Source organism: Homo sapiens, chromosome 17 (genome assembly GCF_000001405.40).
Source record: "Homo sapiens chromosome 17, GRCh38.p14 Primary Assembly".
NCBI classification, from domain to species: Eukaryota; Metazoa; Chordata; class Mammalia; order Primates; family Hominidae; genus Homo; species Homo sapiens.
The window spans coordinates 35,410,511-35,434,625 of NC_000017.11; the positions used below are offsets into that span (position 1 = coordinate 35,410,511).

Here is a 24,115-nt window from a genome sequence, read left to right on the forward strand (position 1 = left end):
CTCTGTTCCAAGATCCCACTGAAGGTCTTAGGCATGAATTCAGAACACCCAGCCAAGGGTGTATCCCACTCTGCTGAGCTTCATCTTGGTCCCTTAGCTCATCTTAGATGAGTGGGAAATGCCAGACCCTGGTGCTCCTTCCTCTTGTTGATGAAAACTCTCGTTGTCTAAAAGAGTTTCTACTTATACCTTGGCTGCTTTCCTTCAAATCTTAGTTAGAGAGGATTTTCCATATTTTGTCATCTCACGCTTCTTTATTCAGAACTGCTTGTAGAAAAATAAAGTAACCATTCTTGTGAGTTCTTTAAAGGTGCTAGCTGACCAGTTAGGAAATCCACAACCCTTCCAAGTAAATAGTGTGAAAGTAGCTCAAGAAGATCCAGAGAATTCCTGGAGTTTTGTTTTGAGAAAATGAGTTTTGCCTTCTTATTCATTCCCACTGTGGAAATTCTGAGTTTCATCAAGGATAATCTTTTGTAAGTTATAATTGTTTTCTAGGTATATGCTGGGAGATTTTCACTGTTGTCATTAAGAATAAAAGTGTTGCAATTTTCCCAGTTCAAGCATGGAAGAAAATTTATTCAGGAACTACAGACAGAGTAAATAATACTGTGCACAGACGAGTTAACAAATTAATTTTCCTAATATCCCTCAAACAATATCTGTGAAGATTATTTAGGGAGAAGTGAAAATAGACAAAACCCAATTATCCAACATCACATTAAGTTGCTTAACTTGCAAAGTTTTCAAAGAAATATTTTCACAGAATTAGAGAATGTTATCAAATATATAATGAAAAATATCTCAGTAGCCCAGTCCATTTTCCATCAGGTGAGCCTTCGACAAGATTTAAACATCTTTTTATCATTCTTCTGAAAGCAATCTATACCGATTATCTGGTATAGATTTTCTGCAAAGGAAAACTGGTCTCTCAGAGACTTGAGTCTCTTTAAGGCTTTAAAAAGGGCTTTCAGCAAGTATTTCCTTCTTGTAAAATAGTAGGATTCAGGGTAAATTACTTGCGACCTTAAATCATACTGGCAGCTTGTCATGCCTTCAGGGCTCAAGTAGAAGATCTTTGTCATGACACACACTTTTTTAGTGTAACCACCAATTTTTGCCAGCTTCTGCTTTAAGGTTAGGGCAGTTTGTGTAGAATAGCCTTTAAACTCCTCATCCTGTACCATGTGGAAGGTGTATAGGACTGGAGGACTGTCCTGGGAAATCAGAAGAGCATCACAGAGGACTTTGTGGTTCTCTTGCAAGCCCAGATCCACAGACCAGCTCCTAGAGAAGATCAGTGAGCCCTTTCTGACAGAGTCCATTTCTTCACATATTAATTGCTTAAGTCCTTCATGTTGTAAGAACAGTTTTCTGCAAAGGTTTTCTGGAGTATACGTTATCCTTCCTGATAGCCCTGAATAAGGAAATAATAATAATAAATTATAAAACACTAGGAAGTTCCCATTTAAGCCATGGCAAAGTAGCTTGTAAAAAACCAATCTTCCCATCAAAAACACTGTAAAAGTTGTATAAAATATATTCAAACAATAATTTAAAGAACTAGAAAGCACCAATAAAAGCAGTATTTGAAGTGCCACAGTCTTTGATAGAGGTGAAACACAGAAAGTAGCTTCACATTCACCCCTGCTTTTTCCCTAAGTAGATTTTCTATATCATGGCATGGGTAAATAGAACCCAAGGAGAAATCATCAGTCTTATTAGGCTGAGGAAAAGAAGTAAGAAGAGCTGGAATATGAGAAGTAAAATCTCAGAGAAAATGAAGCTGCAGAGAAGAAGCCAAAGTCTACATACAAATTTCCCTCAACTCATTGGCTAATACAGGTCAGATGCTGGAAACACAGAAGAAAATATCAACTGGGAGACTAAAGAGCTGAATGTAAGTTTCTTCAGCCTCATGGTGCTCAGGAAACACAGACTGGAATTCCAGTCCCAAAAGAGTGGAGGGATCTTGGTAAACACCAGCGACATTACAGCAATAGAAAAGCCATGACCTAGTAGTAACGGCAAAATTAAAAACTATTATACCTAGAAAAGGATAAAAAAACTTCAAAAGAATAAAAGCAATGGGTGGTACTCTAACTACCTGTCAGAAGTAAATATAGCCCTTTTTGGAGAAATGTAATATCTATCAAAGTCTCTACAATTTGTAATCCATGATACAATAAAAAATTACGAGACAGAATAAAAATCAGAATGAATTACTAGAAAACAGGAGAAAAATCAGATCAGAGAAAAAGACTGACAAGTGCTTCAGATATTGTAGTTATCAAAGAGGGACTTTAACTGTAATATATTTAAAAACAAAAAATAATAATAAAATAGATGAAAAGATGAAGATGTCCTTATTCTCTTACAGCCTTAGAAAAACTAAAATTGAGGGATAAAAATTGTGTGGGCATTCCTTAACTGAAAAATACAGTAGGTGGTAATAAGAACTTATTTGATAATATTTAACAGCAGACAGAGCATAGCAGAAAACAGGACTAGTCAATAGGAAGACAGGATGGTAGCAAAAGTCCGAACTCAAACTCAATAAAAAAAAAAAAGGTAAAAACAGAAGATAAGAGATATATCCGAAACTGTCAAAAGGTCTAGCAAATTTATAAGTCCCACAAAGAGAAAGGAGAGAAAAATAAGATAAGCAATATTTGAAGAGATAAACAATTATAGTTTTTTCAAAGTTGATTAAAGATATCACTCACAAATACAAGAGTATACCAATCCTTCTCAGACTCTTCCAAAAAAATTGAAGAGGAGGAAATACTTCCAAACTCATTTCATGAGGTCAACATTACCCTGATCATGAAGTCAGTCAAGGACACTACAAAAAAAAAGAAAGTTACAGGCCAATATCACTGTTGAAACTAGATGCAAAAATTCTCAACAAAATGCTAGCAAACCAAATTCAACAGCACATTAAAAGGATCATTCGGCCCAGTGTAGTGGCTCACGCCTGTAATCCCAGCACTTTGGGAGGCCAAGGCAGGTGGATCACCTGAGGTCAGGGGTGCAAGACCAACCTGGCCAACATGGTGACACCCCGTCTCTACTAAAAATACAGAAAATTAGCCAGAAATGGTGGCAGGCACCTGTAATCCCAGCTACTCGGGAGGCTGAAGTAAGAGAATCGCTTGAACCCGGGAGGTGGAGGTTGCAGGGTGCCAAGATAGCGCCATTGCACTCCAACCTGGGTAACAAGAGTGAAACCATGTCTCAAAAAAAAAAAAAAAGAAAAAAAAAGATCATTCATCATAATAAGTGGGATTTATCCTTGGGATGCAAGCATAGTATAACATGTGAAAATCAATAATTGTGATATACCACATTAATAAAATGAAGGGCAAAACTATATGCTCATATTAACGGATACAGAAAAAGCATTTTACAAAATTCAACATTCTGTAATTTAAAAAAACCTCTTAACCAACTAGGTATAGAAGGAATGTACCTCACCACAGCAAAGACCATATATAAAAAACCTAGAGCTAACTCCATGCTCAATGGTGAAACATTGAAAGCTTTTCATCTAAGATCAGGAACAAAACAAGGATGCCCATTTCACCACTTCTATCCAATATGGAAGTCCTAGCCAGAGCAATTAGGGAAGAAAAAAGAAATAAAAAGAATCCAAACTGGAAAATAAGAAATTAAATTGTCACGGTTTGCCCACAATGTGAACTTATATATAGAAAACCTTAAAGATGCCACCAAAAAATGATCAGAACAAATAAAAGAATTCAGTAAATTTTCAGAATACAAAAATCAGTAGCATTTCCATACACTAACAACAAATTATCCTATAAAGAAATCAAGAAAACACTCCCATTTACAATAGCTACAAAAAATACTTGATAATAAATGTTATCAAGGAGATGAAAGATTTCTATACTGATATCTATAAAATGCTGATGAAGGAAATTGGAAAAGACACAAATAAATGGAAAGATAGCTTGTGTTCATGGATTGAAAAAATCATATTTTTAAAATGTCCACACTACCCAAAGTGATCTACAGATTCAACGAAAACCCTATCAAAATTCCCATGTCATTTTTCACAGAAAAATGACTGTATACCTAGAAAACCCTAAAGACTCATCCAAAAAGCTTCTAGATTTGATAAATGAATTCCATTAAGTTTCAGGATACAAAACCAATGTACACAAATTAGTACTGCTATACAGCAAGAGTGACCAAGCTGAGAATCAAATCAAAACCTCAATCCCTCCGACAACAGCTGCAAAATAAAATAAAATACTTAGCAATATACCTAGACAAGGAGGTGAAAGATCTCTACAAGGAAAACCACAAAACACTGCTGAAAGAAATCATAGATGAAACAAACAAATGGAAACACATCCCATGTTCATGGATAGGTAGAATCAATATTGTGAAAATGACCATACTGACAAAAGCAATCTACATCAATGCAATTCCCATCAAAATACCATCATCATTCTTCGCAGAACTAGAAAAAATAACCCTAAAATTTATATGGCACCAAAAAAGAGTCCACATAGCAAAAGCAAGACTAAGCAAAAAGAACAAATCTGGAGGCATCACATTACCTGACTTCAAATTATGCTACAAAGCTATAGTTACCAAAACAGCATGGTTCTGATATAAAAATAGGCATGTAGACCAGTGGAATAGAATAGAGAACACTGAAAGAAAGTCTAATGCTTACAGTTCAATTGGATCTTCAACAAAACAAGCAAAAACAAAGTGGGGAAAGGACACCCCATGCAACAAATGGTGCTGGGATAATCGGCAAGCCACATGTAGAAGAATAAAACCAGATCCTCATCTCTCACCTTATACAAAAACCAACCCAACAGGAATCAAAGACTTAAATCTAAGACCTGAAACCATAAAAATTCTACAAGATAACATCAGAAAAACAATTCTAGACGTTGGCTTAGGCAAAGAGTTCATAACCAAGAACCCAAAAGCAAATGTAACAAAAACAAAAATAAATAGATGAGAAGTAACTAAACTAAAAGGCTTCTGCACAGCAAAAGAAATAGCAGAGTAAAAAGACAATCCACAGAGTGGGAGAAAATATTTGCAACCTATGCATCTGACAAATGACTGATATCCAGAATCTATGAGGAACTCAAACAAATCAGCAAGAAAAAAACAAAGAATCCCATCAAAAAGTGGGCAAAGGATATAAATAGACAATTCTCAAAAGAAGATATACAAATGGCCAATGAACATGAAAATATGCTCAACATCACTAATGATCATGGAAATGAAAATTAAGTCCACAATGAGACCATCTTACACCTGCAAGAATGGCCATAATTAAAAGTCAAAAAATAATAGATGTTGGCAAGTATGCACTGAAAAGGGAATTCTTTTATACTGCTGGTGTGAATGTAAACTATTACAACCACTGTGGAAAAATGTGTGGAGATTCATTAGGGAATTAAAAGTAGAACTACCATTTGCTCCAGCAATCCCACTACTGGGTATCTACTGAGAGGAAAATAAGTCATTACATGAGAAAGATGTTTGCACACACATTTATAGCAGTACAATTTGCAATTCCAAAAATATGGAACCAGCCTAAATGCCCATCAGCCATCAAGTGGATAAAGAAAATGTGGTATATATACACCATGGAATGCTATCAGTCATAAAAAGGAATGAAATAATGGCATTCACAGCAACCTGAATGGGGTGGGAACCATTATTCTAACTGAAGTAACTCAGGAATGGAAAACCAAATATTGTATGTTCTCACTCATAAGTGGGAGCTAGGCCATGAGGACACAAAGACTAAGAATGATACAAAGGACTTTGGGGACTCAAGGGGAAGGGTGGAAGGGGAATGAGGGATAGAAGACTACACACTGGGTACAGTGTACATTGCTCAGGTGATAGCTGCACCAAAATCTCAGAAGTCACCACTAAAGAACTTATTCATGTAACCATAAACCACTTGTTCCCCAAAAACTAGTGAAATAAAAATTTTAAAAATTAACATATAAGATACCTAGAAAAAGCATACATTTTAAAAGTACTTACTACACAAAGTAAATAAATTTTTGAAACCAATCTGCTTTGTTCTCACAAGAAAATAAAAATAGCCTGAAATAAGGATCTGAAATATAAGTCAGACTAATACTGAGATGCCAGCTATTGAATTTAGGATTCCTTAAAAATATCTTACCAAAATTAACACCGAAGGAAACAGAAAGAGTAGGCAACCCTTTTATTAAAAAACCAGAAATATGTCAGGCACAGTGGCTCAAGCCTGTAATCCTAGAGCCCTGATAGGCTGAGGCAGTTGGATCACTTGAGCCCAAGAGCTTGAAGCTGCAGTGAGCCATGATCACACCGCTACACTTCAGCCTGGGTGACAGAGCCAGTTCCTGATTGAAAAAAGAACTAACAGTCTTCCCACAAAAGGAAGACAAACCATTTTACAGGCAAATTCCACCACAATTTCAAGCATATCATTCTAATCTTATATAAATTTTTTCAAAGGATAGGAAAAGAGGAAATAATCCCCAACTCATTCTGAGTTCAGCACAATTTTAATACAAATACTAGACAAAGAAAGAGAGAAAACTATTCTTAGACCTTGTCACTCATGGATTTAGATACAGAAATTCTAAATTAAGTATTAGCAGCTGAATAAAAATGCATAAAAAAGATAATACTGCAAGACCGAACTGAGTTTGTTCCAGGAATGCAAAAAAGGCTTAATAGAAAATATTAAACATCATTTGCCAATCAACATATTAAAAACATTTAATCATGTCAACAGGAGTAGAAAATGTGTTTGATAAAATTCAGTATTCATCCATGATAAAAAAAGAAAAAACATTTAGTAAACTAGAAATATCATTAAACTTCCTTAGCCTGATAATGGTATATTCAAAGTACCTAAGGCAAACCTCAATTTCTTTTTTTTATTATTATACTTTAAGTTCTGGGGTACATGTGCACAATGCACAGGTTTGTTACATAGGTATACATGTGCCATGTTGGGCAAACCTCAATTTAAATGGGAAAGCCATAGACACACTCTCTTTAAAATCTGAACTAAGACTATTTGCATTAAGAATTGTCTAAAAGTTTTCTTCAGTTCATTAGGACAAGAAAAAAAGACATTAAAGGCAGAAAGATTGGAAAGGAAAAGACAAAACATTTTATGATCTGCATATTTGTTTATACAAAATGTAAATAATCTATGGACAGATTATTTAAAATAATAAGGAAACCTAACAATGTGGCCTTATATAAACTCAGTATGTAAAAATCAACTGCATTTCTACACATTAGCAATAAACAAGAAAATGGAACTTTTAAAAAAAATATCTTTACAACAACAAAAATAAAAGGAACCTAGACATAAGTGTAATAAAAGATGTACAAAATGTGTACACAGAAATTTATGAAACTATAAAGGCATTAAAGAAGATATAAATAAGTAAAAAGATTTCCTATACTCAAGGATACAACTTACTGATATAAATATGCCATGTCTTCCCAAATCTATCTAGAGATGCACTGTAACTGCAAATCAAAATCCCAAAAGTTTTTTTGGCATTTAAGCAGATTCTAAAGTGTGTATAGAAGATTAAATGATTAAAAATTGCCTAGACACTCTCAAAGAAAAACTAAAGGGCTTACCCTACCAGATATCGATACTTAGTATAACATTACAGTGGCAGGGACAGACAATTTGATCAAGGAAACATAATAGAGATTCTAGAAAGAGGATTATCTATAGATATACAGTTGACCCTTGAACAACATGGGTTTGAATTGCATGGGTCCACTTACGCCAAGATCTTCTTCCACCTCTGCCACCCCAAGATAGCAAGACCAACCCTTCTCTTCCTCAGCCTACACAACGTGAAGGCAATGAGTACGAAGACCTCTAAATGATCCATTTACACCTAATTTATAGAAAATATATTTCCTCTTCCTTATGACTTTCTCAATAACATTTTCTTTTCTCTAGCTTACTTTATTGTAAGAATATAGTATATGATACTTATTGTAAGAATATAGTATATGATACACACAAAATATGTGTTAATTGACTACGTTATTGGTAAGGCTTTGGGTCAAAAGTAAGCTATTAGTAGTTAACTTTTTGGAAAGTCAAAAGTTATACACCGATTTTCGACTGCACCTTTTGTTCAAAGGTGAATTGTACTTAGTAATATGATGAAGGTGGCATGGCAGATCATGGTGAAAGTGAGACTTTTCAGTATTGCGGCTGGGAAAGTTGTTATCCACATGGAATAAAATGAAATAGCATGCTACATTACTGTCTATTGAGATGGATTGTGTATTTATTTATTTGTTTGTTTGTTTGTTTGTTACTTACTGAGACAAGGTCTCACGCTGTTGCCTGGGCTGGAGTACAGTGGTGTGATCTCAGCCCACTGCAAGCTCCGCCTCCTGGATTCAAATGATTCTTGTGCCTCAGTCTCCTGAGTAGCTGGGTCTGCAGGTGTGCACCACCACACCTGGCTAATTTTTGTATTTTAGTAGAGACACGGCTTCACCATGTTGGCCAGGCTGTTCTCTTGGCCTCAAGTGATCCGCCCACCTCTGGATTGTGTATTTACATGTTAAATGTTGAGTGCAAAACTTTAAAATTTTTAGGAGAAAATTAAAAGAAATATCTTTATAATCCTAGTGTATAGAAGGATCTCTTATGCAAGGCACAAAGAGCACTAAACCGCAACATTTTAAATGATAGTTTTGCCTACATTAAAATTTAAAACTACTACTTATGAGAGTATACCTTAAGAAAAGAGAAAATGCAAGCCACCAGCTTGGAGAAAACATTTGGTAGTCGTTAATACCTATGACTAAAAGAGGATTTTATTCTAGAATCTCTAAATTACTCCTATAAATCAATAAGAAAAAGACAAAGCTTATTAGAAAAATGGTCAAAGACAAAATAGACACTGCACAGAAGATGAAATATATATGGCCAGTAAGTATATGGAGAGATGCTCAACCCAATCAATAACCAGGGAAATGCACATCACAAAGACATACCATTTTATACACATTTGATTGAGAAGAAGGAGGTCAAGAGAAGGACAACCATAAATAAGAAAAATTTGACAACTGGAGAAGATGTGGCATTTCTAATATATTGCTGATGGGAGTAACATGACCTATCTACTTTCAAAACAATTTGGCATTATCTTATTACTTGAATATTCACACACCTCCTGAGCCAACAATTCTACTCCTACTTAGGCACCCAGGAGAAAATCTTGCACATATGCACTAGAAGACCGACTAAGAATGTTCAAGGTAACACTGTTCATGTCACAGAAAGCAGGAAATAACTCAATTGCCCATCATCAACAACAACAACAAAAACAGATAGATCAATCAGAGATCCTGAGTACTGATGGCGTTTCTTCAGTAACTGAACATAGCTATGCCTGAAGGTGGGCCTCAATCTAGACTGCTCAGTGACATGATATATATGCTTTCTTTTTTTGTTTGTTTAAACTAAACTGACTTGGGTTGCTCTTACTTTCAAGTAAACGAGTTTGTATTGCACCAAGAAAATTCTAACCCAAATATAAAGAAATAGGATTTGACAGATTCAATGACTTAAAACACCAAAGAATTCTCATAAACACAAGAATGTGCTTTCAGAGCAAATTTCAAGACTGAGCTGGTTTGAAGAGAAAGAGGTTTGACTACAGTCACACTAACAAATCCGAAGAAGCCAGAATGAAATTACCTGGACAGTGATGTCTCTGCCGTTGCCATTCCAAAAGAGGCCAACTGTGGGGAGCAGGTAATGACGTATTTATTTGAGAGATCACCTCTTCATATGAACTGGAAAATTCTTAAAAACAAAAATATCACATTCTTAATTTCGCAGAAGGGAGACCCCAACTAACTAATGCATAGTATTATATATTAAAAGTCTACTTGTAACTGATTCTGTTTTCCAAAAAAAAATTAATGTTAGATATTGTGGTTAGATTCTTAGGTCAGATACAAATTGCAAAATTAACTTTTGATGCCACTGACACACTATATTTCAAATGAAAATTAACAGTAAAAATGCATTAATAGTAATTTAATACATTACCATATAATTGGGTTTATTTTTAAAGCAGTTAAAATGAGACGTGATGGCTAGTGAAGGAAAGCTGACTTTTGTGCAGATTCTGAGGAAGAAGCTTACATTTTCAGACATTTTATAAGCTGCTAGTACTGGTCCAATTGCTAGTACTGGTCCAATTTCATTTGAGGCTTTCTTTTCCCAAACGCAGAGAAAATACCAGCATTATTCCTTCCTTACTAGTACAAATTAGGGCTACTACTTGGCTCACAAATGTGAGAAGAAAAAGGAAGCGGTTTTATAGGAAATAAATAGAAAGGGACGCCAGGCATGGTGGCTCACGCCTGTAATCCCAGCACTTTGGGAGGCCGAGGCGGGTGAATTGCCTGAGGTCAAGAGTTCGAGACCAGCCTGGCCAACATGGTGAAACTCCGTCTCTACTAAAAATACAAAAATTTAGCTGGGCGTGGTGGCGGGCACCTGTAATCCCAGCTACTCGGAAGGCTGAGGCAGGAGAATCGCTTGAATCCAGGAGGCGGAGGTTGCAGTAAGCCGAGATCCTGCCATTGCACTCCAGCCTGGGTGACAGAGCAAGACTCCGTCTCAAAATAAATAAATAAATAAATAAATAAATAAATAAATAAATAAATAAATAGAAAGGGGACAAGAAGCATGAAGGAGCAAGTAAGTAAAAGAGGCAAATGTTCCTGAAAGAAAGCAATGGTTACTTACTGAAATAGAGCTCAGAAACAAAAAGGAAAAGGATTAAACGGGGTTTCCTTCAAAACTAGTATAGACGTGGTAGGGAAGAAACTTCCAGGTTTAATTGGGTTTTTGCACCAGGTAGGGCTACTAAAAGTAGATGATGTGCTTATTTTATGAAATATCTATCTTCTTCTAAGGGTATAGAAGAAAACAAGAGGCAGGGAACTTTTTTTTTTTTTTTTTTTTTTTGAGATGGAGTCTCGCTCTGTTGCCCAGGCTGGAGTGCAGTGGCGCAATCTCCGCCCACTGCAACCTCCGCCACCTGGCTTCAACCGATTCTCCTGCCTCAGCCTCCTGAGTAGCTGGGACTACAGGCACGTGCCATCACACCCAGCTAATTTTTTGTATTTTTAGTAGAGACGGGGTTTCACCATCTTAGCCAGGGATGGTCTCTATCTCCTGACCTCGTGATCCGCCCGCCTTGGCCTCCCAAAGTGCTGGGAATACAGACGTGAGCCACCGCGCCTGGCCGAGGCAGGGAACTATTGATTGTATCCACCAGGGATTAATAGTTTAGGTGCTGAAATTTGAGGACTATTGATCTTGCCCCAGATCCCATAGAGAAAACCTCCCTGCCACCCAAGCCAAATGCATTCCTGTTGCGAATCCCCCGCTCTCAACTTGGTTCAGCCTCCACCATGAACTGGATCCATTCCTTCCTGGTCAACTGCATCACACGGTTATCTTTCACATGCCAGGAATCAGGCTCTTTAGCAAACACTGCACAGCAGAAGCGCTCCACTCTGAGTGCACAGACATATCCACAAAGACTTCCTTTATCATATACTCCAAGGAATTTGCATGAATAATTTATCTTCTTCTTCTCCATACAGAAGTGATGCACAGGCATCTTCCTAATGGACTTTTCGATTTCTCTTTCTAAGTCATCGAGGTCACTCATCTCTGCTTTAAAGCCAATTATTTCTTTATCTTCATTTAAACCAATGAACAAATATCCTCCATCAGTATTTGCAAATGCAGAAACATATTGAGGGAGAATCTCTTTAATTCGTTGTAACAACTTTTCTGTCGAGAAGTTTTTAATTTCAACATGTGTGGATTCAGTAAAGGTCAATTTTTCTTTCCGATCAAGTTCTGTTCTATCAAAAAAAACCCCGGCCAAGGCCTTCATGTTATTTTCTTCTTGTATATCAACACAGGGCCTCTTTGCCAGCAATTCTGGTCTTAAATACAATCTCCCTCTAGTCTTTTTCATGTCTTTGAGGAACTCCAGTGCAGCAGTGGCATTCATGACTTTTGCAGATGTTATATCTCTTTTGTACAAATTGGAGCTCAAGGTGGTAATCCGCAGACCAGAGGTGTTCAAGCTCCATGACTTCACAAAAATCAGAAAGTAGTTACCATTCTGCATGAAGTCTAAGTACTCAGGAACAAATAACAGAATGTTACTAAAAGAATTTTCCAAATCTAGTCCTATTCCATCTTTTGTATAACTATAGTCTTCATTCTCAATTTCAGCCTTGATCACTCCCCCTCCAGAATTGAGCAGAGCACACATAGCTCGTGAGACACTTTCATTCTGCTTTTTTCTCAGTTTACAATCCTTCATTTTTTTCCTACTGTTCTCTCCAAGAGTGACTCTTCCCACATCTAGAACCAACTCGGCATAATTCGTTTCCAAATCAACACTGATGTTCATTTTCCCAGCAGCTATGCAGTGTCCAAGCAGAAATTCTTTTCTGTAAAATAGACAGAGCCATTAGAATAGGACCTGAACTAGAAAGATAGCAAATTCTGTATTATGAGGCAAATGCAAAAAAATCCTGTGCTGTATATATTCTACTAGACTGGTAAGTATATGGATATGAAGAGACTGGCAAATTTTGAGCTAAGACCGCAATAATTTATACTCCTACTGAATTTTCAAATTTGTTACTATAGTTCTATATAATGTATTCTAATTATGTAATCTCTTTATCCGCCTTTTTTCTCCTTTCTAGTCCCTAATATTGTACAACCTGTTTTCTCTCTCCTTTTCTTAAACAACCCCTGGAGTGAGTCTATGTTTTTATCTTCTCAGTGAACCAGGCTTTAGTTATACATATTATTTCTACTTTTCTTTTTATTTTAATAATTTCAGCTTTTACCTTAATTATCTCCATTTATGGGTATAAATCTTTTGGAAGATTTCCCGTTAAGGTCTAATGACATCCAACATGTCATGTTAATTATTTTTCCTTCTTATAAGAATGAAATAGATTTATAAATTTTGGCCATTGATCTTAAGCAAAGTGGGCTAAGTCATTGTGCCCTTTTTAAATCTAATATCCACATATTTTCAATAAGGAAAATTCTTATATACAAAACACCTGTGCTATGGTTTGAATGTTTGTGTTCCCCCAAAATTCATATGTTGAAATTATAACTCCTGAGGTGATGAGGTTTTTGGGAAGTGATCAGGTTATGAGGGTGAAGCCCTCATGAATGAGATTAGTACTCTCCTAAAAGGGACCCCGGAACACTAGCTCATCCCTTCCACTATGTGAGAACACAGCAATAAGTAGGCAGTCTGCGACAGGAAAAGGGCCCTCACCAGAATCCAACAGTGCTGGCACCTTAATCTTAAACTTCCCAGCCTCCAGAACTGTGAGTCATAAATTTCTGTTATTTGTAAGCCACCCAGCTTGCGGTATTTTGTTATGGCGGCCTAAACAAACTAAGACATTGTGCTTTAGTCTATGTATCCCTAATCCATTAGCTCTGTTCCCTTAAAATCTATTAGGATCACTGCTTTGCTCTAAATGGAAACTTTTAAGTTAAGAAGTGTAACTTAAGTTTAACTTTTTTTTAAGTGTAACTTAAGTGTAACTTTTTAAGTTAAGAAGTGTGACTTAAGTTTAACTATTTTTAAATGTAACAAGTGTAACTTTTAAGTTAAGAAGTGTGACTTAAGTTTAACTTTTTTTTAAAGTGTAATTTAAGTGTAACTTTTAAGTTAAGAAGTGTGACAAGTTTAACTTTTTAAAAAAAGTGTAATTTATGTGTAACTTTTAAGTTAAGAAGTATGACTTAAGTTTAACTTTTTTAAAAGTGGAATTTAAGTGTAACTTTTAAGTTAAGAAGTGTGACTTAAGTTTAACTTTTAAGTGTAACTTAAGTGTAACTTTTAAGTTAAGTTAATAAGTGTAACTTAAGAAGTGTAGGTTTTCCGAGTGGCATAGAGACAATTGAGAATAAAGTCCATCATAGGTAGTAATTGCTATACTAGAAAAGGAATGTAAAGGGGGTCAGAATATTCCTGTCCACAGCTGGACCAATATCATGCAGATACTCAGCTAAGGTTGTGGATACCACCTGTGTCCATATAAATTCCTGATCACATGTAAACAATGTTAACATTAGAGCCCCAAACCATTTGGACAGTTGGGGTTGAATCCTTTAGTTCTTTGTCCATGTTTTCTCTTAGCTCTTTGAAGATACTTAAGACAGTGCCTGTTTTTTATTTTATTAATTTATAAATAAAATCCTATATATTGATCATGTACAATGTGTTTTTTTGAAACTTGTATATATTGTGGAATGGCTATGTTGAGCCAACTACCATATACATTACTTCACATACTTATCATTTTTTGTGGTGAACATTGCTACTATTTTAGCAACTTTCAAGAATACAGGCCCAGCACAGTGGCTCATGCCTATAATCCAAGCAGTTTGGGAGACTGAAGTGGGAGGATCACTTGAAGCCAAGAGTTCAAGACCAGCCTAGACAACAAAACAAGACCACATCTCTACAGAAAAGTAAAATAAAATAAGAATTGGCTTGGCACAGTGGTTTGTGCCTATGGTCTCAGCTACTTAAAAGGCTGAGGTGGGAGGATCACTTGAATCCAGGAGTCCAAGGCTGCAGTAAGCGATGATCATGGCACTGCACTCTAGCTTGGGCAACAGAGAAAGACCCTGTCTCCAAATAAATAAATACATAATAAAGAATACAACATATTGTTAACTATAGTAATCATATTGTACAATAGAGCTCTTGAACTTATTCCTCCTATCTAACTGACATTTTGTAACCTTTAACCAACATTTCCCCAAACCCCATCTTCCCCCAGTAACCACTATTCTACTCTATACTTCTATGAGTTTAACTTTGATAGATTCTACAAATAAGTGAAATCATGCAGTATTTGTCTGTCTCTACTTGGCTTATTTCACTTAACATAAAGTCCTCCAGATTCATCCATGTTATCAAAAATGACAGGATTTCCTTCTTTTTCTTAAGGCTAATTAGTATTTTATTATCTATATGTACCACTTTTTCTTTATCCATTCATCTGTTGGTGAACACTTAGGTTGCTTCCATATCTTGCCTATTGTGAATAATGCTGCAATAGACATGAGAGTACAGATATCTCTTTGATAGACTGATTTCATTCCCTCTGGATATTTATCCAGGAGTGAGGTTGCTGAATCATATGGTGGTTCTTTTTCTTTTCTTTTCTTTTCTTTTTTTTTTTTTTTTTTTTTTTTTTCAGAAACCTCCATACTATTTTCCATAATGGCTAAGCTAGTTTAAATTCCTACCAATAGTGTGCAATGGTTCTCTTTTCTCTACACCATCTCTTTTTATCTCTTGTCTTTTTTATAATAGCCATTTTAACATGTGTGAGGTGATTTCTCATTGTGGTTTTAATTTGCATTTTCCTGATGATTAGTAATGTTGAGCATTATTTCATATATCTGTTGTCCATTAGAATGTCTTCTCTTGAGAAATGTCTATTCAGATCCTTTGCCCATTTTTTAATCTGTTTTTTTTTCTTACTATTGAGTTGTTTGGGTTTCTTATATATTTTGGATATTAACCTCTTATCAGATGTATGGTTTACAAATGTTTTCTTTCATTCTGTAGCCTATTCTTTTACTCTGTTGATTTTTTCCTTTACTGTGCAGAAGCTTTTTGGTTTGATGTAATCCCATTTGTCTACATTTGCTTTCATTGCCTGTCCGCCATTGGGATGACATCCAAAACATCACTGCCCAGGCCAATGTCTTGGATCTTTTTCATATATTTTCTTCTAGTAGTTTTATAATTTCAGCTATTACATCTAAGTCTTTAATCCATGTTGAGTTGATTTTTGTATTTGGTGTGAGATGAGGGTCTAACTTCATTTTCTGCATGTGGATATCAAGAACGTTATTTTAAAATCTTTGTCTAATATGTCTGATGTCTGGCCTTCCTCAGAGATGTGTTCTGCCAATTTACTTTCTTCTTTTGAATAGGTCATATTTTTCTGTTGTGTGTATGCTTTATGAATTTTTGTTGGAAATTGGACATTTGAAAAAACAGCGATCTCTCACAGTCTTTGCAGACAAATGCTATGGCAAGGCAAACCTTCAGTGATGGGCTAAGTATACTCTGATCTTAGGGATCAGCTCAAGGAAAAAGCTTAAGGTCTTCTCAGGTCTTTTCTGAGCATTTATCCTGCCTGGATTGAGCGGGGCTTTCTTGATTCCTCTACATACATGCCTGCTTTTGAATGTCTTAATTTCCCAAAGAATCTCACCCCAGCTCATCTTCTGAGCCTTAGATGGTTATTCTATGTCTCTAGCTATAATCTCTTGCCTAAGACATCTGGGGGTCTATAGTCTTCTTGCAGCTTTCCTGAGCAGTGGCTGTCACTTCTCCTCACCTGAGATCTGAGTTAGGGGATACAGAAATGAATCCTTCAGGCAGTCCCCAGACAGGTTACAACATTGAAAATAAGTTTTACTATGCCCCACCAATTCCAGGGAGGAAACTAGGAGCAGTGATGCTGCCTCCTCAAGACTAAGACCTTGCCATGCAGGGCAAAAACTTGGGCAAGGGTGAGTAAAAACACCATGAAATTTCCTACAGTTTTGAATGCTGCTTTTCCTTGATTGGGCATTCATTTAGTTGCAACAGATCTTTGTTGTTAGTTCAGCCAGTTTTGGGTTGCTTTTGATGTTTCCATGGAGAAACAGAGTTGAAGCTTCCTAATCCACTATTTTTCTGACATCATTCCTGTCACCATTTCTTTATATTAAACGCAATTCGATAATATTTTTAAGATTTTGCACCCATGATGTCCCTTTCTCCTATTCTTGTTGACAGACAATGCAATCAATAGCTTCACAAAATGAGTTGAGGATGTGAGCTGTATTTCTATTATTTCACATTTTACCCAACATGAGGACCTTTTTGCAGTGGGAGAGTTGGTCATGGTTGGCCATACTGCCCAAAACGAAAATATACTATTTGAATCTTGCTTTTCCATGTATCAATATAGTATATACAACAAGTTTTGCAAAAATAATAATTAGCTATTCTTTAAAAACCTTATTAACTGCATAATTTCATACATGGTATTAATGTACCATTATTTAACTATTACCTTACAACTGAACATTGAAGTTGCTTTCAATCATTCGATATAATTATACTAGAATCTTGACTCAGTTATTTCAATGTTTGGGTATGCTAATCACACAGTCTAATTTTCATTGAGTCTAAGAGTGCCCTGGCAAAGCACTTCAATTATATATACAGATACGGTTCAGATATATACAAAGATGGTTAAATCGAGTATGGGAGGCCAGAACATGTAGACAGAAAAGAAGCCAGATTTCAGGATATAAGAAATGGAACCTTGAAGGGGAAAAATTATGTAAGAGAAGAAAGAGTCTGAATCTGTGGAAATAAAGGTTCATGGTGAAACATAAGGTTATATTTGAACCTGTGCCTTAGGTACATAATTAAGCTGAAATTATGTAAGTATATAGAGTGTATATATGTACACACAGAGAGAGACAGAAGTTTGTAAAAGTTAAATTACTGTATCAAGTGACAAAAACTTCAAAGATTTTGATATATATTATCAAATACTTTCCCAAATAATTGTATCAGAATTATCGCTAGCAAATTTATCTTAGTGGTGATTACAGCACTTTGCCTTGAACCTTTTGGGGGGAAGAGGATATGGTATAAAAGCTACTGGAAAGCATCTTAGTGGGGATTACAGAACTTTGGCCTGTACCTTTTGCGGGGAAGAGGATGTGGTCTAAAAGCTGTTAGAAAGCATCTTAGTGGGGATTACAGAACTTTTCCCCTGTAATTTTTGGGGGTAAGAGGATGTGGTCTAAAAGCTATTAGAAAGCAGCATCTTTCCCTCAGTGTTTCCTGAAAACTCAGAGAGAACAAAGAGAGGCTGCCTTCTAAGAGATATTGGACCTAGCATTCATTCAAATAGGCTCCCTGGGCCTGGGTCCATAGAAGAAAGCATTTGCATATGACCCAGGGAGATTCCAAAAAAAGAGAACCTAAGTGGGGAGGACCTGACTCCTGGTAGTTGAACAAGAGTGAAGCCAGGTAAGCACAATCATTGAAGTTTAAATTTAAAACTCAATAGTAGTCTCAATGTGGCATAATTATGCTAGAAAGCAGAGGAAGATGTATATCTCTGCCATGCTGAGCTTTCTCCTTAGTATTATAGCACAATTAGTGTTCTTTAGACCCAATTTCTTCATATTTCTTGCACATGAGGCTGCCCCAAAGGCAAGTCCACCTTCCCTGTTGACCAGACAGAAGAGATTCTCCATCTCTACCCACAAAGGCTGCAGGAGAATCAGTTCCACTTCTACCCAGGCGCACAGCCCCAGCCCTACAATTTTCTGGTAATGCCTCACCAAGCAGCCTCTGCTCTGCTCCCCGATTCTTTTTTGCAGCCTCTCTAACTAGAGTCTTGTCCCCTTTCCTCTTAGCCCACCTTTCTGCACTGTCTACATCAGGCTGGGCTCTGTGTAAACTTTTTTGCCTAACCCACCATACACAGAAGGGGACAGAAATCACATCTCACCCTCAGATTGATTAAGGAGGGTGCTCATACCACTGAGAAACTTGGAACCCATGGGAGCTGCAGTTGAGCCACCTTATAGAGGACCCAGCGCTTGTGAACTAGCCTGGGATCCCGGTCACCCCAGTCCAACATCTGCAGCTGTGTAAAACTTTCCATAGTTGAAAATCACTGCCTTCAAGCATACATCTGGGACAAAACCCTTAAAAAATGAGCTGGGGATTGAGCTTACCAAATCCCTAGGGCCTAAAACTTACTGGCCTCCCTTAAACCTTGGGTCTAGGTTTACAGGTTAGATGTTTCCACTGAAATCCTTTATACTTTTGACTATAGGGGAAATTCTATCAGACCTGAACTCACTATTTAGGCTTTGTTGTTGGCTATCTTTAATGGGAAAGGAGACAGCATTCAGATCTCCTTAGAGTTATGTCAGAACAGCAGGTTAGTAGGAACTGCCCACAGGGTGGGACAGAAGTTGTAAGAGCTACCTCCTGGGAAACAAAAATCATGCAACACTCTTTGCCCTCCTAGGATGTCACTTTGCATTTAGTTCAGGACAGCACTGCTCTCATCCTTCCCGCCTTCTAGATAATAAACCAGCAGGGCATGAGGGTGCTTGGTTTTTCTTTTAGGATCTAGCAATGCAGTTCATCAGTGCCTGGTCGCATTTCACCTAAAGAACCTATTCCCCAACTCCCTGCATGTTCAGGACTCCAGGAGGATGGATAACCCTGGGAGGTCTGGACACCCACCAAGCCTGGCCTGACCATAGAGCACTCTGCCCTCCCTGCCTCTCTAGCTCTGCTTGAACACTGCAGATCCCTGGCTCACTGGCCCCACAGCTCTTTAAATTTTCTGGTAATGCTTTAAATTTTCTGGGCTGCTCCCCAGCCCATGCAGGAGCAAAAGTTCCACCCGACCTATAGCTTCCAAGTCCACCATTCTGAAGTCCTCAACAGCCTGCAGTTTATTAGAAGTTGCTACAGAGACAGGAAAGTGTTACCGGTGGAGGGTGTCCTGCTCACTGAAACATTCTGTTTGCAGGAGAAAAACAAAAACTTGGTCTGTTCTAGGATCTATGTGTTTCCTTAAAGTCTTAGAATGAGCAACTCCATTTTGGTTTGGTTTGGTCTGTTGGGGCCATGAGCTCAGTCCAAAACACTGGCCTTTCACAATTTTGTTTTTTAAAATTCCCCCTTTTTGTTCAGGTTCTCACTTAGGTGAGAATGTAACCAAAACGTAAGGCCTTAGCGCCGCTCTCAGTTACCATCATTTTGGGTTTCCAGTCTCAGCACACCATCCATAGGTTACAGTGTCCTCATGGTCGCATATTTGTTTCACTTCTCATCATTCCAGTTGAAGAGAGACCATTTGACATTCTAGAGATGGCTGCATGCAAACATCGAAAACCTTTGAGAGAATACAGTGCACCAGGGAGCCTATTATTATGATGACTATTGGGAGGATAATACCAAGAGTTTGGAGGATGCTCCTTGCCCAGGGTTCCCATAAACCAAACCAGTTAAAATTAAATAGATCAAATAATGAACTAAATAAAGAATCTACCAACTTAAGTAAACAATCTCCTCATTAATCCCCTACAACTGAATCTCTTAATCTTCATTTAATGTATTTCTCCATAGACTCTAAGTGCCAGCAGCTGCACAGATACTTCTCTGTTCAGCCAATTCTATCATAACTTTCACAAAAGAATTTAAAGTCTGTTGTGTAACTATGGCCTTTACAGTAGATGTTCTGAGAACATCTATCCTATGGGTTCTAGGTTGTGAAGGGGTTGATTGTTCTCAGTGAACCATAAAAAGCTTTCTTTACCTGGTGAAAATACACTGTAGCATAATCATGGGAAAAGCTTTTATACAACAAGAAAACATGCATTGAAAGTGACATTGAATAAAATCCCTTTGTAAATGTTTAAATGGCCCATCGGGTAGCCAAATGTACCTGAAGCTTTGATTGTCTTCCCAGGAATATGGATTTGAGAAACCAAACATTGGTTATAAACAACTTTAGCAATTTATAAGTCAGCGGTTTCCATGGCAGTTTGATTTTTAAAGGTCAAACTTCCTCGCACTTCAAAGAACGCTGAGGCCAAACAGCACCAAAGGAGAACATCACACTTTAACCCGACACAACCCTGCTTAGAACAGCAGCACAAGAGCCTGCATACATGCAACTCCATCCCACTTTACCATTCAACAGCAAACTCCAGATTCCAAACAATATTGAGGCCAAACACTACTGCAACCGGAAGAGAAAATTCTAAGGAGGGCTTAGTACTAGGCCTAAGAACCTCTACCAAAGGAACCCCCTTGGAGAGGCTGAGGTCCAAAGGATCCTCCAGAGCATCCCCCTTTAGGGTCCAATCTTAGAGCGTCAGACGTCTCTGACCTTAGGTGGTCACCAGTGCCACTTTACATGTTTTCCCTCCAGAGGGGATGGCCTACTGTGAGCTTTCCTTTTGTCTCTGGATGAAGGCCTTGACTTCTAGCATCCTTATAATTTGATAAGGCCATGCTTTCCCATGGTTCCCATTCCACTAGAGTGATAGTCATGAACTTTAATGATATGAAATGGAGGCTAGGTGGGTTTCTTTTAACCTTAGCCAGTAGAGTAGGGGAAGGGAAGAATTTAACATAAGGAAAGAAGGTTTAAGTCACCTGAAACACGTGTGAGTTCGCCCTGGAGAAGCTGCGTCACACATAGGGATCAGGGACCACAACCAGAAAAGACAGAAAAGAGCCCTTCCCGCTTCTGGGCAGGGCAACTATCCCCATTCACTCCTTGGCCTTCAAGGCAGCACTGGAGAGTAGCCCCCGGCCAGAAACCTGCAGTCGCCTCCGTGTCTAGGCGCTACCCACCAAGGATCCCACGTTGGAAAGGAAAAGAGAAAGAGAGAGATTTACCTGTATGGAGCAGAAAGGAAAAGGGAAAGGAGAAAAATAAATCCCAGACTTTGGGCTTACCTCCTGGTTGGCTTGCCAAAATATGTTACCAGTGAAGAGTGTCCAGGTTCTTGGCGTGTTGAACAAAGAACTGGACAAACACACAAACAAAGCAAGGAAAGAATGAAGCAACAAAAGCAGAGATTTATTGAAAACGAAAGTGCACTCCACAGGGTGGGAGCAGGCCCGAGGATAGCGGCTCAAGAGCCCGGTTTCAGAATTTTCTGGGGTTTAAGTACCCTCTAAAGTTTTCCCACTGGTTACTTGGTGTGCACACAATGTAAATGAAATAGGAGCCCGAGATCAGTCTGAATGGTTGCAGAAAGCGATCAATGGGAGGCTGAAGTGAAGTTACAAAGTTATGCCCTATGAAAACATCTGATTGGACGCAGAAAGCGAAGTTACAAAGTTACATTCCTATGCACATGAAGACTTGGCCCTGGAGACCAGTCTGATTGGTTGCGGGAGGGGACCAATCAGAGGTATTTTCAGTTTTTCATCTGCCATGTAGAAAAGGAGGGGCTACAAAGGAAGTTTGTGGAAAGTTGGGATTTTCCTCCAGACCCTTATTCTCCTGCTTCAGAAGGGAGAGAAAGCAGACCGGGATGGGGGTGCGGGGATCTTCCCGGGAGTGGTGGGGTTGTGTTACCAGTGCCCCACCTCCTCCCGAGCCAGCAGACTCCCCAGAAATGAAAAACTAAGGCTGGAAGGTTTAGCGATGGAGCAGGACCAACTTACCAGCTCGCGGTGCTCCCTAGAAGCTGGATTCTTCGCAGGTGCGAGCACACCCCAGATGCCAGCGTGGACCCTTGAGCAACTGGAAGTTAAAAACCCACGAAAACAGCTCTGAGTGATCTCTAGGGAGCTCTCGTTTCTTTTTCACCCATGTGTATTTTTTAAGACAAAAAGAAAAAAGGTAATTTAAAGAAAACAAAGAACAAAGGAACTTGGCGAGGCCCAGGCTACAGTCCGCGGGCTCACTCTCCACAGAGTAAAAAGAACGCGAATCCTTTTCTGTTTTCCGGCCCTCCCCATCCTGGGCTGCGGCTCCACACTTCCCCAGCGTGGCCTGCATTTCTATTGGGCAGCTGGCGCTCCGGAAGTGTCCGCACTCTTTATTATCGACTCTGCGCCTTTGGGCAATTGTCACTATTTTGGTTCATCAAAATTGAAGAAATACCAGGCATTCTTACCATGCCCCTAAAGGGGTGACTCAACCTTTCCAGCTGTACTCGCATTCCCAGAGCAGCACTGCTGCCCCCTTGCTTAAAAGCACGGTTGCCCCCAGGAACCAGGCCAGGGCAGCTGTGGATGGACAGGAGAGGACAAAGGTGCAAGGAGCGGATTGCTCCAGGACAGACAGATTCAAATACCTACCCCTGGCAGTGTAGGGAGCATCTTGGGGCCATTTGGGAGATTCCTTTATTGGGATGCTCCAAAGGCTAGTCTGGCCGGATACAGTCCTCCTGCCACTTTGCTTTCCTTTAGCCCCCTTATTATGATAATTATGGTAATACATGTTTTTCCTGCTAACTTGTCTAAGAATTGGTGTCTCAGTACATAGCTTTTGAAATGCACACAGGCCACGATGACTCATCACAGGGGAATGTGCAAGTCTGAGTTGCTCCTTCTCCGCAAGCTCCACCTACCCCACTCTGGACTGCATTAACTGCCTACTGCCTATTCTAAAATCTTAAGGTACCTAGGAAGAGTACCTATTCACATTAAATAACGTATATATTGAAAGCACATAGCTGCGCTTTTCTTCTTCTCATCTGATCCAGACGCCAGCTCTATGGATACAGTCTCACCGAAGTTAAAAAACTATTCTTCAGTCATTGGCTTAGAAAATGCTAGTGCCGGCTGGGAGCAGTGGCTCATGCCCATAATTCCAGGACTTTGGGAGGCCGAGGTGGGTGGATCACCTGAAGTCAAGAGTTCGAGACCAGCCCAGCCAACGTAGTGAAACCCCCGTCTCCACTAAAAATACAAAAAAAATTAGCCGGGCGTGGTGGCAGACCCCTGTAATCCCAGCTACTAGGGAGGCAGAGGCAGGAGAATCAGTTGAACCTGGGAAGCGGAGGTTGCAGTGTGCTGAGATCATGCCACTGCACTGCAGCCTGGGCAACAAGAGCAAAACTCTGTCTCGGGGAAAAAAAAGGAAAGAAGAAAGAAAGAAAGAAAGAGAGAGAGAGAGAAAGGAAGGAAGGAAGGAAGGAAGGAAGGAAGGAAGGAAGGAAGGGAAAGAAAGAAAGAAAGAAAGAAAGAAAGAGGAAGGAAGGAAGGAAAGGAAGGAAGGAAGGAAGGAAGGAAGGAAGGGAGAGAAGAGAGAAAGGAAGGGAGGGAGGGAGGGAAAGAAAAAAAGAAAGAAGAGAGAGAGAGAGAAAGAAAAAGAAAGAAAGAAAGAGAAAGAAACAAAGAAAAAAAGCTAGCGCAGGCCGGGTGCGGTGGCTCACGTC

The 24,115-nt window shown here is 38.5% G+C and overlaps 1 protein-coding gene across 4 annotated transcripts, besides 8 other annotated features; it reads right to left on the minus strand.

The window, feature by feature from the left end:
* Positions 1–411: 411 nt before the first annotated feature.
* On the minus strand, positions 412–22,664 carry SLFN12 (schlafen family member 12). 4 transcript variants are annotated; one of them, XM_024450822.2, is made up of 6 exons: positions 22,395–22,664; positions 21,678–21,747; positions 19,961–20,103; positions 11,480–12,558; positions 9,764–9,871; positions 412–1,417 (listed from the first exon to the last, which is right to left on the minus strand). In XM_024450822.2, the coding sequence occupies exons 4-6, from the start codon at positions 12,516–12,518 to the stop codon at positions 828–830; spliced, it is 1,737 nt and encodes a 578-aa protein (XP_024306590.1). In that variant the 5' UTR covers positions 12,519–12,558; positions 19,961–20,103; positions 21,678–21,747; positions 22,395–22,664; the 3' UTR covers positions 412–827. The 4 variants fall into 4 exon arrangements, with proteins under 4 accessions (XP_024306590.1, XP_005258052.1, NP_001275938.1 ...); XM_005257995.6 differs by lacking the exon at positions 19,961–20,103; NM_001289009.2 differs by lacking the exons at positions 19,961–20,103; positions 21,678–21,747.
* Positions 6,298–6,347: a silencer, noted in NCBI's record as "silent region_8436". NCBI's record gives its function as "represses an Ori minimal core promoter by ATAC-STARR-seq in GM12878 lymphoblastoid cells {active_cell/tissue: GM12878}" and the evidence as "EXISTENCE:reporter gene assay evidence [ECO:0000049][PMID:35858748]".
* Positions 18,509–18,568: an enhancer, noted in NCBI's record as "active region_12067". NCBI's record gives its function as "activates an Ori minimal core promoter by ATAC-STARR-seq in GM12878 lymphoblastoid cells {active_cell/tissue: GM12878}" and the evidence as "EXISTENCE:reporter gene assay evidence [ECO:0000049][PMID:35858748]".
* Positions 21,900–22,625: an enhancer, noted in NCBI's record as "OCT4-NANOG-H3K27ac-H3K4me1 hESC enhancer chr17:33759429-33760154 (GRCh37/hg19 assembly coordinates)". NCBI's record gives its function as "activates a minimal SCP1, AML or CMV promoter by ChIP-STARR-seq in primed H9 embryonic stem cells {active_cell/tissue: H9 hESC(primed)}" and the evidence as "EXISTENCE:reporter gene assay evidence [ECO:0000049][PMID:30033119]".
* Positions 21,900–23,193: a biological region, named in NCBI's record as "CDK7 strongly-dependent group 2 enhancer GRCh37_chr17:33759523-33760722".
* Positions 21,994–23,193: an enhancer, noted in NCBI's record as "CDK7 strongly-dependent group 2 enhancer chr17:33759523-33760722 (GRCh37/hg19 assembly coordinates)". NCBI's record gives its function as "activates an origin of replication core promoter dependent on BRD2, BRD4, P300/CBP, MED14 and CDK7 cofactors, with strong dependence on CDK7, by STARR-seq in HCT116 cells {active_cell/tissue: HCT116}" and the evidence as "EXISTENCE:reporter gene assay evidence [ECO:0000049][PMID:35650434]".
* Positions 22,122–22,341: an enhancer, noted in NCBI's record as "active region_12068". NCBI's record gives its function as "activates an Ori minimal core promoter by ATAC-STARR-seq in GM12878 lymphoblastoid cells {active_cell/tissue: GM12878}" and the evidence as "EXISTENCE:reporter gene assay evidence [ECO:0000049][PMID:35858748]".
* Positions 23,162–23,401: an enhancer, noted in NCBI's record as "active region_12069". NCBI's record gives its function as "activates an Ori minimal core promoter by ATAC-STARR-seq in GM12878 lymphoblastoid cells {active_cell/tissue: GM12878}" and the evidence as "EXISTENCE:reporter gene assay evidence [ECO:0000049][PMID:35858748]".
* Positions 23,352–24,077: an enhancer, noted in NCBI's record as "OCT4-NANOG-H3K27ac hESC enhancer chr17:33760881-33761606 (GRCh37/hg19 assembly coordinates)". NCBI's record gives its function as "activates a minimal SCP1, AML or CMV promoter by ChIP-STARR-seq in naive H9 embryonic stem cells {active_cell/tissue: H9 hESC(naive)}" and the evidence as "EXISTENCE:reporter gene assay evidence [ECO:0000049][PMID:30033119]".

Bases quoted from the DNA above. Each gene is read 5' to 3' on its own strand.
- SLFN12 (NM_001289009.2), bottom strand. From the start codon at position 12,518: ATGAACATCAGTGTTGATTTGGAAACGAATTATGCCGAGTTGGTTCTA. The intron at 9,872-11,479 runs GTTGAGAGCGGG...TTTGTTTTTAAG, and splicing joins CATGGTGGAGGCTGAACCAA to AATTTTCCAGTTCATATGAA. The intron at 1,418-9,763 runs GTAATTTCATTC...TTCCTTATTCAG, and splicing joins GCAGAGACATCACTGTCCAG to GGCTATCAGGAAGGATAACG.